At 43.9% G+C, this 19,269-nt stretch overlaps 1 protein-coding gene and 1 pseudogene across 4 annotated transcripts in view; one reads left to right on the top strand and one right to left on the bottom strand.

Moving 5' to 3' along the window:
• MAP2K1 (mitogen-activated protein kinase kinase 1) overlaps nucleotides 1–19,269 on the bottom strand; it is a 104,633-nt gene that overhangs the window by 30,953 nt on the left and 54,411 nt on the right. For 2 of the 4 annotated variants that reach the window (NM_002755.4, XM_011521783.4), the window contains exons 4-5: nucleotides 17,235–17,312; nucleotides 15,885–15,936 (exon numbers count right to left, since the gene is read on the bottom strand). In NM_002755.4, the coding sequence (NP_002746.1) occupies nucleotides 15,885–15,936; nucleotides 17,235–17,312 (130 nt within the window). The remainder of the gene's footprint in view (nucleotides 1–15,884; nucleotides 15,937–17,234; nucleotides 17,313–19,269) is intronic. The other 2 variants (XM_017022411.3, NM_001411065.1) reach the window with 1 other exon arrangement.
• On the top strand, nucleotides 13,752–14,196 carry RPL35AP32 (ribosomal protein L35a pseudogene 32; annotated as a pseudogene).

Genomic DNA, 19,269 nt, shown 5'->3' with positions numbered 1-19,269 from the left:
GTGAAGACCCTCCTCACTGCTTCAACTATTTCTTACTTTAATTCTCACCCCTTGCCATCAGGAACCCTTTGTTGTAGACAACTTGAACCACTTGCTATTTCCTGTAAAAACATGTCTGTGTTTTCCTGCCTCTATGCCATGATTCATGCTTCCCTCTACCTGGAATTCCTTTCCCTGACCCTGCCACATATATAACTTCTACCTATGCTTCAAAGCTCAGCTCAAATACCATCTCCTCCATGCTTCCCTAAAGAGATCTAAGCCTCTCTTAAGGAGCTAAGAGACAAACTCACCTGGAGCTATAATCATCACTGTGAATCTAGCAGATGAAATAATTCTAGATAAAACGAGACTCACATTTCTAACCAAGAGACCAGCATACTGAATTTTCCACTACTAATGAGCCACTCTGTCTCCCTCCATCTTTAAGGCAGGGCAGTCTGACACAGTCAAAAGGAATCCCTTCCTGTGTAAGCCACACAGCTATGGGATGGCTGTGATGGGAGAGAGATGTAGCCAGGAGCACCTTGTGTATATACCATGGGCAACCTTCTGTGTTTCAAGGATCAGACAACAGTCCTTAGTCACACACAGATAGGAACCATGCTCAGAACAGAATCCTGTGTGTAGCCTCAGGCTGGTGGAGGCAGGGGCCACTCTGACTTCTGCTCAGCGATGCCTGGCAGAGGCAGCATAGTTCCTTGCAAAAATTGCAGAAGAAACCACTCAAATCATTACGTGTGAGTCTGCTACAAACAGCTTATAAAACAACAAAACAAAACCAAACAAGCCACTTCAGATCTTGCTATCAGTGCCAACAAGTCTGAATGGAGAGGAAGAATTTAGAGGTTGTAATCCTGACCATTGCTGAAGACCCCATTTGCTGGAGGCTGTCACTGGGACACCGTGAGACACTTTGGAGACTCCCAGCTCTCCCCAGGAAAAGGATACAAAAAAAATTTTTTTTTTTTTTTGAGATGGTGTCTTGCTCTGTCATCCAGACTGGAGTGCAGTGGTGTGATCTTGGCTCACTGCAACCCCCACCTCCCATGTTCAAGTGATTCTCCTGCCTCAGCCTCCTGAGTAACTGGGATTACAGGTACCCGCCACCATGCCAGGCTAATTTTTTTGTATTTTAGTAGAGACGGGGTTTCACCATGTTGGTCAAGCTGTTTTCGAACTCCTGACCTCAAGTGATCCACCCATCTTGGCCTCCCAAAGTGCTGGGATTATAGGCATGAGCCACTGTGCCCAGCCCAAAAACATTTTTTTTTTTTTTTTTGAGACAGAGTCTTGTTCTGTTGCCAAGCTGGAGTGCAGTGGCGATTTTGGCTCACTGCAACCTCAGACTCCCGGGTTCAAGCAATTCTCCTGCCTCAGCCTCCCAAGTAGCTGGGATTACAGGCGTGTGCCACCACACCCAGCTAATTTTTATATTTTTAGTAGAGACGGGGTTTCACCGTGTTGGCCAGCATGGTCTTGATCTCCTGACCTCATGATCCGCCCTCCTCAACCTCCCAAAGTGCTGGGCTTACAGGCATGAGCCACTGTGCCCGGCCCAAAAACACTTTCATATAGGCTCTGCAGAAGCCTTAAATCTCATTCTGACCTGAGAGCCCCGTTTTTACATAACTCTCTAACCTAGGGAATAAAGGAACACTTTTGAGGCACACTCCAAGCAGGATGGCCCCAAGGTATAATAAGCTACTATGGCTCTGAAGAGAGGTATCCAATTACAGTGGGCTATGTACCCCTCAAAAATCTAAGCTGGCAGCTAAGCACAGTGGATCACACCAGTAGTCCCACACTTAGGGAGACCCAGACAAGTGGATTACTTGAGTCCAGGAGTTCAAGACCAACCTGGGCAACAGAGAGAGACCGCATCTCTAGAAAAGAAAATTTTTAAAATTAGTCAGGCATGATAGCACATATTTGTAGTCCTAGCTACTCAGAAGGCTGAGGTGAGAGGATCGCTTGAGCTGGGGAGGTTGAGGATGCAGTGAGCCATGATCGCACCACCACATTCCAGCCTGGGCGACAGAGTGAGCGAGACCTGTCATTCGTTCATTTATACATACACACATACATGTCACACATAAATACGTAAAATTTAAAAATCTAGGTTACACATGGTTTCATTAGATAGAAGGAAAAGAAAAACAAGTTGAGTTATAATTTAAAACTGTTGTTAACATTTATTGATCTTTATCAGCTAACAACTCCAAGGCAGAAATAATTTACGGCTAAGTTGGATGAACTGCGTATTGATCTAAATCATGCAACGCTTTTTCAGGGTCTTAGTCAAAATAAGGCCTTGATAATTAGAGCAGGTTAAGAACGGCAGGGTGGCAATGCAAATTATTGCTTTAAATAGAATGAAAGAGAGCAGTATCCTAGCGCCCTCTTCACCTCCAACCCTTTTTAACTCACAGCACAACTACCTACTTGGTTCAGCTTCAGATGAAAAGACTCGACATAAATTTTGGCAGCTAATTCTTTTCAGAGCTCCAGGATCAGGAAAAATAATCCTGTCTCCTACCCACGTCACTTATCATGTTTTCCTTGAGAACTTAAAGCTGACACATTTAAAAGTTTAGTTTTGTGTTTAAATTCTTTTTTTTTTTTTTTCTGAGACAGTCTTGCTCTTGTTACCCAGGCTGGAGTGCAGTGACACGATCTCGGCTCACTGAAACCTCTGCCTCCTGGGTTCAAGTGATTCTCCTGCCTCAGGCTCCTGAGTAGCTGGGATTACAGGCGTCTGCTACCATGCCTGGCTAATTTTTTGTATTTTTAGTAGAGACGGGGTTTCACCACATTGGCCAGGCTGGTCTCGAACCCCTGACCTGAGGTGATCCACCCGCCTTGATCTCCCAAAGTGCTGGGATTACAGGCTACAGCCACCATAGTTTTGTGCTTAAAAGCCCAGTTTTGTGCTTAAATTCTAAAGCTTCTGTCAAGGGATTCTCCTTCCCCTTTTGGTTAGGAAGATTTTTCTATAAAAAAAGGACCAGAGAGTAAATATTTTTGGCTTTGAGGGCCACACAGTCATCTCTTTCACAAGTAACTACTCAAATTTACCATTATAGCACAAAAGCAGGCACAGACAACATTTACACAAGCATGGCTGTGATCCAATAAAACTTTATTTATGGACACAATAATCTGAATTTCCAGCAGGGCACAGTGGCTCATGCCTGTAATCCCAGCACTTTGGGAAGCCAAGGCAGGTGGATCACTTGAGCCCAGGAGTTTGAGATCAGGCTGGGCAACATAGGGAAACCCCGTCTCTACTAGAAATACAAAAAAATTAGCAGGCGTAGTGGCACATGCCTGTGATCCCCGCTACCTGGGAGGCTGAGGCACGAGAATCTCTTGAACCTGAGAGGCAGAGGTTGCAGTGAGCCGAGATTACGCCACTGCACTCCAGCCTGGGTGACAGAGCGAGACTCGGTCTCAAAAAATAAAAATAATAATAAATTGAATTTTGTATAATTGTTACATGTCACAAAATTTTGAAAACTATTCTTAGCTTGCAGGCCATACAAAAACAGGCAGCAGGCCAAATTTAGCCCATGGACCAGTTTGCTCACACCTGTGTTAACTGCTTGTTGTTTTCATCCTATGTTAGTGTTTTGTCTTTCTGACCCAATGCTTAACAGAATTTGTAAGCGGAAAACTTTTTAAAAATTTGCTTGCTTTCAGCACCCATTCATTCTCCCCATCTCCTGGTAACAAAGCCCCTCCTTTTCATTTGGGATACACTCCTCCCCAGCATCAACTGTTTCTGCTAGGGTGTTCATCAAGAGGCGCCATCTGTTGTACCACAGGGGTGAGTGTATAACCCAGGGTGGCCCACCAGGCAACACTAGTCCCCTGGACACAGTGAATGGTCCAGCCATGGGCAAGCACTCCAAGCAGAGGCAGTCTGCCAATCAGTGGTTCAAACACTGATCTGGATGCTGGGGAGAGTGGGTGGAGTACTTTCTCTGGGATAGGGAGCACTAAGGACTAGATGTGTCTGGGGCTAGTGAGGTCCATCCTGCCTCCAGTGAAGAGAATCTGACTGAAAAGGAAGCCCACACAAGAATGAGCAAAGCTGAGAGGTGACCTGAGGCCATCATTTCAACCTCATATTCATCCCTGCCTTCCGACCTCCTGGTGACCCAAACCATACATTCTCTTTTCTGATTAAGTAATCTTGAGGTGGGTTTCTGCCACACCAAAGAATTCTGACTAATAATCTATGTCACTATGTCACATCGGATTCTATCTGAAAGTTGGCAGGGTAGTGATTCACGCACAAAAAAATGATATTGGCTATGTTCCACAATATACAAGAGTCATTTACAGATATGTCCCTTTCCCATTAGACTCTAAGCTCCTGGAGGACACAATTCATTTATGAGCCAACTTTATGCCTAACGAGTAATTCACCTAATACCTTGCACTTGGCAGGTATTCTATAAATATTTTACAAAATGAATTACTTCTCTTTGATGGGGGAAAAGACTGAGGAGGTAGGCGAATAGACACGGAGGAGCATATACCTGTACCTACCCATGACTGTCAGAATGTCACCCAGAGATTTTAGAGAAACTTAACACTCCCCAAAGGGGTGACAGATCTATACCCACCCCCTGATCAACAGCTCACAAATCACATACATCAGGCTAAACCACACAGATTGTTTCTCCCTTTGAACACCCAGGGGAAATAGAATACAATGTTCTGTATAATAACAGAACAAATCACAGTGGACCAGTTGAGCTAGCCAGAGCTTCGGCACTGGGACTGTCAGTTGAACTTATTCTGCCCAAGAAGTCCTGCTCCATTATGGCAGAGACAAATCACTTCAGGAATGAGGGTGAGAACATGCTTGCCTTTGGGTTCCCACCTGGTGCAGACACATTAGAAATGTAGGAAAACTACCATGTGTACAACCAAGGCAATGTACCAAACTAGGACCAGGACATACTCACCCAGCTGAAGAAAGATAACTGAAAAATGTTCAAGAGGCTACCACCTAGGTGGAAAAACAGTAACTAAATGGTACCTGAAAACAGCTAATCTTCCTCAAAATACCACGAGGCACTTCTTCTCATTTAAAAATTCCTAAGTGCAGGAATACCTACCTTTAAATCACTGACATATTCCTAAGAAGAAATGTATGAATCAAATTGATGTAATTTGCTTGCCTTTTTCAAGATTCTATGAAAACTTCTATTTGAAGAATCCTACCTAGAGTGAATGCTTTGAAAGAGCAAAACATTGCACCCAGAGCACCTTGTGTTATAAACTATTTTTGTACGTTACTTTTTATTAGAGCAGGGCACACTCAGAAATCACTTTCAACCTGGACTAGGCAATGGACTATCAACTAGCCCCCAACACTGAGCAGGAGAGGATGCTGTCCCCTTGATATCTGCATGACTGTGGTGAGAGTGGATTCTTCAGAGGCACTGACTCTGGACCCCTCTGGGAGATCACTGAGCCCATGCCTACCCCCTAAATAAGGCTAGGAGAGGACAGTTGGCCCAGCAGCAATAGCACTGTTAGAGTTGTACGCCAGGGAGCTATTTCTCTGCCTGACTGAGCCAACCTCCCAACTAGAGTAGCCTTGGTTCCCACCCTACCGTGGTTTGTAGGATCAGCTTGTCAAAGGACTCTCTGAACTTCCCTTGGATCCTTCTTTTTTTGTTTTTTTTTTTCGAGACAGAGTCTCACTCTGTCACCTAGGCTGGAGTGCAGTGGCACGATCTCGGCTCATTGCAACCTCCGCCTCCTGGGTTCAAGCAATTCTTTCACCTCAGCCTCCCGAGCAGCTGGGATTACAGGCGCACGGCACCACGCCGAGCTAATTTTGTATTTTTAGTAGAGATGGGGTTTCACCATGTTGGCCAGGCTGGTCTCAAAACTGCTGACCTTGTGATCTGCCCACCTCAGCCTCCCAAAGTGCTGGGATTACAGGTATGAGCCACCGCTCCCAGCCAGATCCTTCTAATGAATAAATTTTTAGAAGCTTAAACCAAGTCAGGCTGGTTTCTGTTGCTGGTAATCATAAAAACCTCTACCAATTTATCTAAGCAACAGGTAAAATGTATTAAGTGCCTACTACATGTTAAGTACTATTCTAAGTGCTTTGTATGTATTAATTAATCTGCATACAACCCTTTAGGTAGGTTCTGTTTTCTCCATTTTCCTGAGGTTTGGAGAAGTTAAATGACTCATCCAAGGTTACACAACAAGTAGCACAGTCACAATTTGAACCTTCAACTTTATCACTGTGATACAGTGGAAAAAAACGGGCCACCATATTTCATAGCTCCTCCCAACAAGAGATGGAGACTTCACTCTACTTTTTAAATCTTGGCTTGAAACACATGACCCGCTTTAGCCAAATGGACATGAACAAACTTGACATAAGCAGAGGCTTAAAGGGTACTTAAGTAGTAGGGTTTACCCCCTCTTGCTACTGGAAGAAACCAGGGCTTTAGCCTCACAGAGGATGGGGAAAGAGGACCTGCCAACCCACAGAAAAAGTAATAAACTGTGTAAGGTAATAAATTATTATTTTAAACTACTAAGTTTTGGAGCCTCGTTACATAGCAAATGGTAATTGAAATAATCAACCCAAGCCTAGCAGCTCATGCCTGTAGTCTCAGCACTTCAGGAGGCTGAGGCAGGAGAATCGCTTTAGCCTAGGAGGCCAAGGCTATAGTGAGCCATGACTGCACCACTGTACTCCAAGCCTGGGCACCAGAGCAAGACCCTGTCTCAAAAAGAAAGAGAAAAAAACCACTAAGCTATCTCCAGCAAATAAGTATCAACAAATAAGAACAAATAAAAATTTGAGGCAGAGAAAAGACCTCTTTACTCTTCCCCACTTTTCCTCAAGGACAGAAGAATAAATGAAGTTGAAATTTCATCAGTGAAGAATATATTTAGAACAGAGGTAGAACTGGCCATGAGGAAGCCCATAGGCAGGGACAAGGAGACTGCTCTCTCTCATTTTCACCTGAACTCAGGTTTCCAGGAATCACCTACTCACTGTGCTGCTTGCTCAGGAATTGCTGGTGCACAGGTACCATTCCATAGTCCAGGCCTTACAGTTCATTCTTCCAGGGCTTCTGGAGAAGACTTGTAAACAACAGGAGTCTGAAATGCTGAGCAGCCAGGCCAGCCCACACAGAAGTCCTTCTAGTGACTTCCCTTTCTTGGCTGTGCAAGTGGTAAACTCTCCATCAAAGACATCTGTTCAGAGACCCATCTGGCTCACAAAGCATCTCTTCATGCCAAAGAGCAACAATTGGTGAAGCCAAAAAAGAAAGCCCTAAGCAGGTGGGGGCAGCACTAGGCGGAAGGGAAAAGAAAGCTGGTTGTTCCAGGAGTGTGCTGAAACCTCCCTCTCCTTGGAATGGAAATAAAGTTAGAGGTCTTCATTGCAAAACACAGGGCATGATCCATAGTAGGTACATAGTACAGAAAAACACAGGACTAGAAAGAAACACTGTGTTAAGAGTAAGAGACATGGGTCCTTGGCCCAGTTTCACTGTTGACTCCTGTGTGTTCTGGCACAAGTTAATCATCCATCCATCCATGTAACAAACCTTCAAAGAAGAACTGTTTTCTACTATCATCTTCAGGACTGAAGATATATACACAGCAATTAGACATGTTCCCAGATTTGAAGAAACTTACAGGTTAATGAGAGACAAACATAAGAACTATATTTTACACATATAGAAACCAAAGCTAAGGTTTTAATCGCTGGTTTTTAGTTTCCTTATAAATTATATAAAGAAACGGGGAAGGCAATTAGCATATTAGAGCTTTCTATAAGCAAAACACTTTGCCAGTTGCTTTCCATATGTAATTTCTTAATCCTCACAGCAACCTCTGAGTAGGCAGGCGGACTCCACTTCACAGATGATGGGATGCCTTTACTCCACCAGATGTTCCTACAACACTGACCTCATTCGTCCTTGCATAGTGGTAGACTGCATATGTCAATCGCAGCCTAGAACATAACTCCATGCTTAAGAATGTTCACTCCTCCTCTCCTTTCAGCTACTCCTATTTCCTAGAAACTAATACATTAAAATATTCTAACATGGAACTCAGAGGTCTTAAGAAGCCACAGATTAAGGACTAAACTGGTAGAAAAACTGTTTCCCCCTCAAACCAATCACTACCTCTTATTGATACTTTCTTGTCAGTAGAAAGAAGACAAGATGGCAGCCAGTACAATTAGAAAGCAGGTGGCTTTCTATATTTAGCTTTTTTTTTTCTTTTTTTTTTTTTTTTATTATACTCTAAGTTTTAGGGTGCATGTGCACATTGTGCAGGTTAGTTACATATGTATACATGTGCCATGCTGGTGCGCTGCACCCACTAACGTGTCATCTAGCATTGGGTATATCTCCCAATGCTATCCCTCCCCCCTCCCCCGACCCCACCACAGTCCCCAGAGTGTGATATTCCCCTTCCTGTGTCCAAGTGATCTCATTGTTCAATTCCCACCTATGAGTGAGAATATGCGGTGTTTGGTTTTTTGTTCTTGCGATAGTTTACTGAGAATGATGGTTTCCAATTTCATCCATGTCCCTACAAAGGACATGAACTCATCATTTTTTATGGCTGCATAGTATTCCATGGTGTATATGTGCCACATTTTCTTAATCCAGTCTATCATTGTTGGACATTTGGGTTGGTTCCAAGTCTTTGCTATTGTGAATAGTGCCGCAATAAACATACGTGTGCATGTGTCTTTATAGCAGCATGATTTATAGTCCTTTGGGTATATACCCAGTAATGGGATGGCTGGGTCAAATGGTATTTCTAGTTCTAGATCCCTGAGGAATCGCCACACTGACTTCCACAATGGTTGAACTAGTTTACAGTCCCACCAACAGTGTAAAAGTGTTCCTATTTCTCCACATCCTCTCCAGCACCTGTTGTTTCCTGACTTTTTAATTATTGCCATTCTAACTGGTGTGAGATGATATCTCATAGTGGTTTTGATTTGCATTTCTCTGATGGCCAGTGATGATGAGCATTTCTTCATGTGTTTTTTGGCTGCATAAATGTCTTCTTTTGAGAAGTGTCTGTTCATGTCCTTCACCCACTTTTTGATGGGGTTGTTTTTTTCTTGTAAATTTGTTTGAGTTCATTGTAGATTCTGGATATTAGCCCTTTGTCAGATGAGTAGGTTGCGAAAATTTTCTCCCATGTTGTAGGTTGCCTGTTCACTCTGATGGTAGTTTCTTTTGCTGTGCAGAAGCTCTTGAGTTTAATTAGATCCCATTTGTCAATTTTGGCTTTTGTTGCCATTGCTTTTGGTGTTTTGGACATGAAGTCCTTGCCCACGCCTATGTCCTGAATGGTAATGCCTAGGTTTTCTTCTAGGGTTTTTATGGTTTTAGGTCTAACGTTTAAATCTTTAATCCATCTTGAATTGATTTTTGTATAAGGTGTAAGGAAGGGATCCAGTTTCAGCTTTCTACATATGGCTAGCCAGTTTTCCCAGCACCATTTATTAAATAGGGAATCCTTTCCCCATTGCTTGTTTTTCTCAGGTTTGTCAAAGATCAGATAGTTGTAGATATGTGGCATTATTTCTGAGGGCTCTGTTCTGTTCCATTGATCTATATCTCTGTTTTGGTACCAGTACCATGCTGTTTTGGTTACTGTAGCCTTGTAGTATAGTTTGAAGTCAGGTAGTGTGATGCCTCCAGCTTTGTTCTTTTGGCTTAGGATTGACTTGGCGATGCGGGCTCTTTTTTGGTTCCATATGAACTTTAAAGTAGTTTTTTCCAATTCTGTGAAGAAAGTCATTGGTAGCTTGATGGGGATGGCATTGAATCTGTAAATTACCTTGGGCAGTATGGCCATTTTCACGATATTGATTCTTCCTACCCATGAGCATGGAATGTTCTTCCATTTGTTTGTGTCCTCTTTTATTTCCTTGAGCAGTGGTTTGTAGTTCTCCTTGAAGAGGTCCTTCACATCCCTTGTAAGTTGGATTCCTAGGTATTTTATTCTCTTTGAAGCAATTGTGAATGGGAGTTCACTCATGATTTGGCTCTCTGTTTGTCTGTTGTTGGTGTATAAGAATGCTTGTGATTTTTGTACATTGATTTTGTATCCTGAGACTTTGCTGAAGTTGCTTATCAGCTTAAGGAGATTTTGGGCTGAGACGATGGGGTTTTCTAGATAAACAATCATGTCGTCTGCAAACAGGGACAATTTGACTTCCTCTTTTCCTAATTGAATACCCTTTATTTCCTTCTCCTGCCTGATTGCCCTGGCCAGAACTTCCAACACTATGTTGAATAGGAGTGGTGAGAGAGGGCATCCCTGTCTTGTGCCAGTTTTCAAAGGGAATGCTTCCAGTTTTTGCCCATTCGGTATGATATTGGCTGTGGGTATGTCATAGATAGCTCTTATTATTTTGAAATACGTCCCATCAATACCTAATTTATTGAGAGTTTTTAGCATGAAGGGTTGTTGAATTTTGTCAAAGGCTTTTTCTGCATCTATTGAGATAATCATGTGGTTTTTGTCTTTGGCTCTGTTTATATGCTGGATTACATTTATTGATTTGCGTATATTGAACCAGCCTTGCATCCCAGGGATGAAGCCCACTTGATCATGGTGGATAAGCTTTTTGATGTGCTGCTGGATTCGGTTTGCCAGTATTTTATTGAGGATTTTTGACAGTTTTGCTCTTGTTGTCCAGGCTGGAGTGCAATGGCATGATCTTGGCTCACTGCAACCTCTGCCTCCCAGGTTCAAGCCATTCTCCTGCCTCAGCCTCCCAAGTAGCTGGGATTATAGGCGCCCACCACCACACCCGGCTTAATTTTTGTATTTTTAGTAGACGGGGGTTTCACCATGTTGGCCAGGCTGGTCTCAAACTCATGACCTCAGGTGATCCACCCACCTCGGCCTCCTGAAGTGCTGGGATTACAGGCGTGAGCCACCGCACCCAGCCTACAGTTACCATTTTAAGTGTATACTTTCATGCATTTTCAAAAATGTTCACACCTGTGAACCTATTACCACAAACAAGATTTAGTGTTTCTATTACTCCAAAAAAGTTCCCTTATGCACTTTGATGTTAAACTATCCCTACCTCTAAACCCTCAGGCAGCCACTCATCTGCTATATGTTACTGTGGATTGTCTGTTCTAAAATTTCGTATTAGCAGGCTCTCACAGTATGTACTCTTTTGTACAGGGCTTCTTCCACTTAGCATGTTTTTGAGATTCATCGAAGTTATATGTATCAATAGTTTTATTCCTGAGTTGTACTCCATTGTTTGAATACACTAAAATGTACCCACTCATCTGATAATAATATTTTTGTTGCTTCTAATTTTGGGCAATTATAAATAAAGCTGCTATGAATATTTGTGTAACAAGTCCTTGCATGAGCAAATGTTTTCATTTATCTTAGGTAAATGCCAAGGAGTGCAGTTCATGGTGGTATAATTTAACAAGAAATTTTAATACCTGTTTTCCAAAATGGTTGTCCTCTCTCTGAATGTTTTTGGTTGTTGTTGTTTTTTTTTTTTTTTTTTTTTTTTTGAGACAGTGTCTCACACTGTTGCCTGGGCTAGAGTGCAGTGGCGCAATCTCAGCTCACTGCAACTTCTGCCTCCCAGGTTCAAGCAATTCTCTTGCCTCAGCCTCCCTAGTAGCTGGGATTATAGGCATCCGCCACCACGCCCAGCTAATTTTTTATATTTTTAGTAGAGACGGGGGTTTCACCATGTTGGCCAGGCTGGTCTTGAACTCCTGACCTTGTGATTCACCCACCTCGGCCTCCCCAAGTGTTGGGATTACAGGCGTGAGCCACTGTGCCCAGCCAATAGTCTCTAGTTCTTAACAATGCAGTTTGGTGGCCCAGGTTGAAATTAATAGATGCACAAAACTGAACCATATGTACAAGCTATAAGCTGGTCATGCAAATTCCAACTACAAGTCTGCCATGGACAGAAATCTTTCAATATTTTGAGAAATTTTCCCTGGAAATGAGAGGGAACACTTGCACAATATTCTTCTTTGTGCTTCATTTTCTATTTCTTTTCTCCCGACAAATCCCACTAGGACAAGCTGCCATTACTCCTCTTTCTACACAGCCCACCTAGCTACTCACTCTACCCCCAATGCAGTGTTTCCCAAAATGTGGCTATGGACCACAGCATTAGAACCAGCACTTACTTAAGAACCAGTGTCTAGCACATCATACAACATGGATGAACCTTGAAGACATTATTCTAACTAAAACAAGCCAGTCCCTAAAGGACAAATACTGTGTAATTCCACTCATATGAGGTACCTAGAGTAGTCAAACTCATAGAGACAGAAGGTAGATTGGTGGTTTCCAGTGGATGGGGAAAGGGGGAAATAGTGGGTTTTTTTTTTTTTTTTTTTTTGAGATGGAGTCTTGCTCTGCTGCCCAGGCTGGAGTGCAGTGGCACAATCTCAGCTCACTGCAACCTCCGTCTCCCAGGTTCAAGTGATTCTCATGCCTCGGCCTCCCAAGTACCTGGGATTACAGGCGTGTGCCACCACGCCTGGCTAATTTTTGTATTTTTAGTAGAGATAGGGGGTTTCACCATGTTGGCCAGTCTGGTCTCGAACTCCTGACCTCAGGTGATCTGCCCACCTCATCCTCCCAAAGTGCTGGGATTATAGGTGTGAGCCACCACGCCCGGTGAGAGTTGTTACATGGACACAGCTTGAGGTCTGTAAGATGAAAAAAGTTCTGGAGATGGATGGTGGTGATGGCTGCACAAGAATGTGAATGTACTTAATGCCTCTGAACTATACACTGAAAACTTGAGAAAATGGTAAATTTTATGTATATATTTTTTACAATTAAACTTTTTTTTTTTTTTTGAGACAGAGTCTCTGTCGCCCAGGCTAGAGTGCAATGGCATGATCTCAGCTTACTGCAACCTCCGCCCCCCAGGTTCAAACAATTCTCTTGCCTAAGCCTCCTGAGTAGCCAGGATTACAGGCACACGCCACCACACGCAGCTAATTTTTGTGTTTTTAGTGGAGACGGGGTTTCACCATGTTGGCCAGTCTGGTTTCAAACTCCTGACCTCAAGTGATCCGCCCGCCTCGGCCTCCCAAAGTGCTGGGATTACTATGCATGAGCCACTACGCCCAGCTAATTGCCTATTTCTAAATTTTCAGGTCCCTGTGCCCTACCCCAGACCTACTGAATCAGAACCACCCTCCAACACTTGCAAACACTGTCATAATTAAGTGACCTCTAACTGAAGACCTGAAAGATCAGTATCTGGAAGAAGTTAGACTAACAAAAAGAACACTAGGGGAGAGAAGGGGGACGTCAAAAAAAAAAAAAATGCATCCAGGAGTCAGCCATGTCAAAGGTGGCTCCACTCAGTGCTCAGCTTGCTCACCAGTGATGTATCACCTAATCTACGGGGCTTGTAAGCTGTCCAGTCAGTTCCAACAGCCCACCCTAGTCCACTCATCTCCGCTTCAGCTCTCCTCTCAACACCAGTCAGTGTTGGCAGTGCTGTGGCTGAAGGGACATGGCCGACAGCACTATGTTTACCAATTTCCTGTCCTCTGGCTTCATCTTCTTTAAAAGCAACTATACTGAGGTATAATTTACATACTATAAAATGCAGTCACATTAGTGGACAGCTGACTTTCAACGAATGTATATAGCCATGTATCCATCACCATTGTCAAGATATAACATTTGCACTTCCCGCCATCTTGGATGCCATGGAGGCCTGCTGGGAACAGGACTTCTAAAAGGAAATATGTGGAAGGCTGTGGTGCAAGGCCATTTTTGCCGGCTATAAGCAGGGTATCCGGAACCAATGGGAGCAGGCAGTTCTTCCTAAAATTGAAAGTGTTTATGCCCGAGATGAAACAGAATTCTATTTGGGCAAGAGATGTGCTTATGTATACAAAGCAAAGAACAACACAGTGACTCCTGGTGGTAAACCAAACAACACTGGAGTAATCTGGAGAAAGGTAACTCGGGCCCACAGAACCAGTGGCATAGTTTGTGCCAAATTCTGAAGCACTCTTCCTACTATGGCTATTGGAAACAGAATCCAAGTGATGCTGTACCCCTCAAGGATTTTTTTTTTTTTTTGAGACGGAGTCTCACTCTGTCGCCCAGGCTGGAGTGCAGTGGTGCGCAGTCTCTGCTCGCTGCAAGCTCCGCCTCCTGGGTTGACACCATTCTCCTGCCTTAGCCTCCTGAGTAGCTGGGACTACAGGCACTCACCACTACGCCCAGCTATTTTTTATATTTTTAGTAGAGATAGGGTTTCATCGTGTTAGCCAGAATGTTTTTTGTTTGTTTGTTTGTTTTGAGACGGAGTCTTGCTCGTCACCCAGGCTGGAGTGCAGTGGCGCAATCTTGGCTCACTGCGACCTCTGCCTCCCGGGTTCAAGCTTCTCCCTCAGCTTCCTGATTAGCTGGGATTACAAGCACCCGCCACCACGCCCGGCTAATTTTCGGTACTTTTAGCAGAGACAAGGTTTCACCATGTTGGCCAGGGTGGTCTCAAACTCCTGACCTCAGGTGATCTGCCCGCCTCGACCTCCCAAAATGCTGGGATTACAGGCATGAGCCACCGTGCCCAGCCCCCTTCAAGGATTTAAACTAATGAGAAGTCAATACATAGAAGTGGATGTGTGCTCTTGAAAAAAAAAAAAAGATGTAACATTTGTGTCACCCCAAAAAGTTCCTTCATGCTCCTTTAATCTCTCCCTAGACCCCTCAAGGCAACCACTGATCTACTTTCTGCCACTATGGATTTGTTGTTATTCTCTAATTTCACATAAATGGAAACAGCTTGGGCTGTTTTGTATCTGCCTTCTTTCACTCAGCATAAATGTTCCTGAAATTCAAAGTTAGGTGTTATCAGTAGTCTTTTCATTTTTATTGTTGAAGAGTATTCTGTTGTATAGATATACTACAATTTGTTTCTCTCTTTGCCTGTTGAAGGACATTTCAGTTGTTTCTACAAGAAATACAGCTTCTTTAAACATTTGTGTGGATGCATGTTATATTTTATCTTGGACAAATGCCTAAGATGGTATGGTCACATGGTTAAGTGTATGTGTACCTTTATTAAAATAAATCAGTTTCTTTCTTTTTTTAATGTGTTTTGTTCTTCTTGTTGTTGTTGTTTTGAGACTGTGTCTCGCTGTGCCACCCAGGCTGGAGTGCAGCAGTGCAATCTCGGCTCACCACAGCCTCCGCCTCCCAGGTTCAAGCAATTCTCCTGCCTCAGCCTCCCAAGTAGCTGGGATTACAGGTGCTCGCCACCATGGCTGGCGGCTAATTTTTGTATTTTTAGTAGAGGGGGGTTTCACCATGTTGGGTCAGGCTGGTTTCGAACTCCTGACCTCATGATCCACCCCCCCACCTCCCCCCGCTGCCCCTCGGCCTCCCAAAGTGCTGGGATTATAGGCATGAGCCACTGTACCCAGCAATAAATCAGTTTCTTTTATAGTAAAACTCATATGCAGCTGGCCAGTCCTGGCTTTAGGCATATGCACATGCACTGTTCACTGTTCCAGTGAATAGTGACACCGGAGACTGGGTAACTAAGTGCTGGTTGAGGCTCTTAGCTGGGCTTCCAGGGTGACTATGACTATTGTCCATCACAGCTATAGGCAATAGGTGTAGCAAGACCAAAAAGAGGGTAGGAGTTGCTGCCTCAGCCACCAAACTAAACAAAGACTTTTAATAAAAGATTTAACATGTTATTAAAAGGCTTTTACACGAAAACAAAACATAGAAAAAAGAGGAAGCAACAGCCTTTGGATTATATCTAAAATTCAAAGCAAAATAACTAGCAAATAACTTCTTACCTCTGTGCATGATCTTGTGCTTCTCCCTCAGATATGTCAGGCCTTTTATTACCTAGAGGAAAGGGAATGTAAAAGAAAAGAAAATACTGGTGATAAGAAAAATACTCAATCTATTTTAAAATACTCTAGGAAAATACTTCATTTATCATCATCACAAATTTGCCTTCCTCCTTTGAGACGCAGTTTCACTCTTGTTGCCCAGGCTGGAATGCAATGGCGCGATCTCGGCTCACCACAACCTCCACCTCCCGGGTTCAAGTGATTCTCCTGCCTCAGCCCCCTGAGTAGCTGGGATTACGGGCATGCGCTACCACCCCCGGCTAATTTTGTATTTTTAGTAGAGATGGGGTTTCTCCATGTTTGTCGGGCTAGTCTCGAACTCCTGACCTCAGGTGATCCACCCACCTTGGCCTCCCAAAGTGCTGGGATTACAGGTGTAAGCCACCGTGCCTGGGCTTTTTTTTTTTCTGAGACAGAGTTTTGCTCTTGTTGCCCAGGCTGGAGTGCAGTGCCGTGATCTCAGCTCACCACAACCACCCCCTCCCGGGTTCAAGCGATTCTCTTGCCTCAGCCTCCCGAGTAGCTGGGATTACAGGCATGCACCAACACCCCCGGCTAATTTTGTATTTTTAATAGAGATGGGGGTTTCTCCATGTTGGTCAGGCTGGTCTCGAACTCCCGACCTCAGGTGATCTGCCCGCCTCCGCCTCCCAAAGTGCTGGGATGACAAGCATGAGCCACCGCGCCCAGCCCCTTATTTTTTACTCTTTTGTTTCATTTTCTTAACCTGCCTTATCAAGCAACCATCTTTTTACATGGTATAAAGAGTTGTTTTGTTTTGAGACAGGGTCTCACTCTGTCGCCCAGACTAAAGTGCAATGGCACAATCATGGATTATGGCTTACTGCAGCCTCTCAAGTGATCTTCCCACCTCAGCTTCCCAAGTAGCTGGGACTACACGTGTGCACCACCACGCCCAGCTATTTATTTTTATTTTTTTGTAGAAGCGAGGTCTCATCATGTTGCCCAGGCTGGAGTTGAACTCCTGGGCTCAAGCAGTCCTCCTGCCTTGGCCTCGCAAAGTGCTGGGATTACAGGTGCGAGCCACTGTGCCTGGCCCGTTTTTCAAGACACACAGATTTTAATATAAAGAAAGTCACTTTTCTCATTCTAATGTGAGAGAGAATAGTGTATATAGACTCCAGACAGGGAAGAGTCTAGTGAGAAAATACCACTTTTCTTATAAACTTTCCCCTCATTGACTTCCCATCTTCCTCTCTTGTCCATTTCTTACCGACTCATTAACTTATCAATGAGGAACTTAGAAGAAAAACTTCATAACATACTCACAGCAATGCTAACTTTTCCTAAAATTTGTTCAGGAATTCTTCCAGCTTTCTTCAGGACTTGATCCAGAGAACCTCCATCCTAAGATCGAGAATACCAGACCAGTTAGTGACAATGTTCTAACTATTCTTTCAAGTGATAACTTTCGGCTGTGGCTGAGGCAGGAGAATGGCATGAACCTGGGAGGCGGAGCTTGCAGTGAGCCGAGATCACACCACTGCACTCAGCCTGGGCGACACAGCGAGACTCTGTCTCAAAAAAAAAAAAAAAAAAAAAAATACACACACAAAAAAACCCCAGAAGGCTGCGTTCAGAGAACTTCAGGACAGCTGAACACATGGAGGTTCCTGGAGGGTGGTGCGCCCAGGGAAGGCATGGAAGCTTCGTACCCCACTCCCATACCTTGTCCTATGTGTCTCTTCATCTGTATCCTTTGCAATGTCCTTTATAATAAACCAGTAAAATTAAGTGTTTCCCTGAGTTCTGTGTGCCAATCCAGCAAATTAATCGAACTCAAAGATAGGATCATGGGAGTCCCAACTTAAAGCCAGTCAGTCAGACATTTTGGAGGCCCAGACTGGCAACTGGTGGTGGTGCAGTCTTGGGGACTGAGCCCTGAACCCATGGGATCTGACATGATCATCTGGTAGTGTCAGAATTAAACAGGAGGACACCCAGCTGGTGTCCACTGCTTAGAGTGTAGAGAAAATCCCTCCACACTTTTGGTCACATAAGTCTTCTGTGTTGATTGTTGTGGTGTGACAGTAAAGGAAAAACACGGTCTGGGAGTTTTTCCCAACATTACAATGAAACCATAACTGCCTAAGAAAGTGATACAGACATGCAGAAGAAGGGAGAAGTAATTCTGACTTCACTTAAAAGATGGCATTTGAGCTGAATATTACTCAAAGGATGAACATGATTTCTATACCTGGAAAAGGGGAGGAGAAAAGGGAGAGAAGAACAGAGCACTGCAATAAGATCAAAGCAGGGACGCATCACGTTGCTGAGTACTCCTGGGATGATGTGGTCATTTCACTGTTGGTGCATGAAGAGGTGCAAGCTAGAAATGGCCGGCTGTGACCAGAACCCCACCAAGGAACCGGGACTTGACTTTATGGAGTCAGAAGTAAAAGAATCCAACCTGAGTGTTTAAAGATGAGAATCACAGCAGCTGAGGGAGACAAACAAGACTCTGGAGGCAGAGAGACTGGTAAGGAGATGAGATGACATGAATGGGGTGCCGGACAGAGGCAGTGGAAAGAGAGCACAAGAGAGGATGCAAGTATGGTGTGAAGCCAGGCTCTGCAGGGCTCACATACCAGGGGCTCCCGTTAAGGGGTTCTACATTTTAACCTGCGATCTTGAAGAAATGCCTCACTAAGGGGATCCTGATGTATCAAGGCAGAAATAGGTTAAGTTCCCCTATGGCTTCAGGTGTAGCCAGTTACCACTTGCAACTTAAAATTACTCTCAGATGTAGACCTAATTCCTGAAAACTCAAAACAAATTTTCTAAAGTATCCTGTCTATATTGAGCAGTTATCATCATCTTCTATCATTTATCAAATGCCTCTGTATATGTAAGAACTAGGTTTTTTTTTTTTTTGTCTTTTTTTAAACCTTTAAGATAAAGATAGAACACACTCTCTCCTTAGGGAGACAGAATATATTCATAAGAGGTAAGGCATTTTAAATCCTCCTCTGAAACAAGGCAGGGAACAAACAGTTGAATGAAGAGAACAGACAATGCTACTGATGCTCAGAGGAGGAAGTGATCCTCCTGCCTCAGCCTTCCGTGTAGTTGGGACCACAGGTACGTGCCACCCCACCCAGCTATTTTTGATTTTTTTTGTAGATGGGGAGTCTCACTTTGTTGCCCAGGCTGGTCTCGAACTCATGGGCTCAAGCAATTCTCCTGCCTCAGCCTCCCAAAGTGCTGGGATTACAAGTGTGAGTCACTGTGCTCAGCCAGCACTACCTCTCAACTGACCCTAAATGCAGCCTAGGACAGGGGGCAGCCCAGATAACTGTCTTGG

The sequence above is a fragment of the Homo sapiens genome, chromosome 15 (genome assembly GCF_000001405.40).
Source record: "Homo sapiens chromosome 15, GRCh38.p14 Primary Assembly".
Taxonomy (NCBI): Eukaryota; Metazoa; Chordata; class Mammalia; order Primates; family Hominidae; genus Homo; species Homo sapiens.
This window is presented reverse-complemented; position numbering and strand designations above follow the sequence as displayed.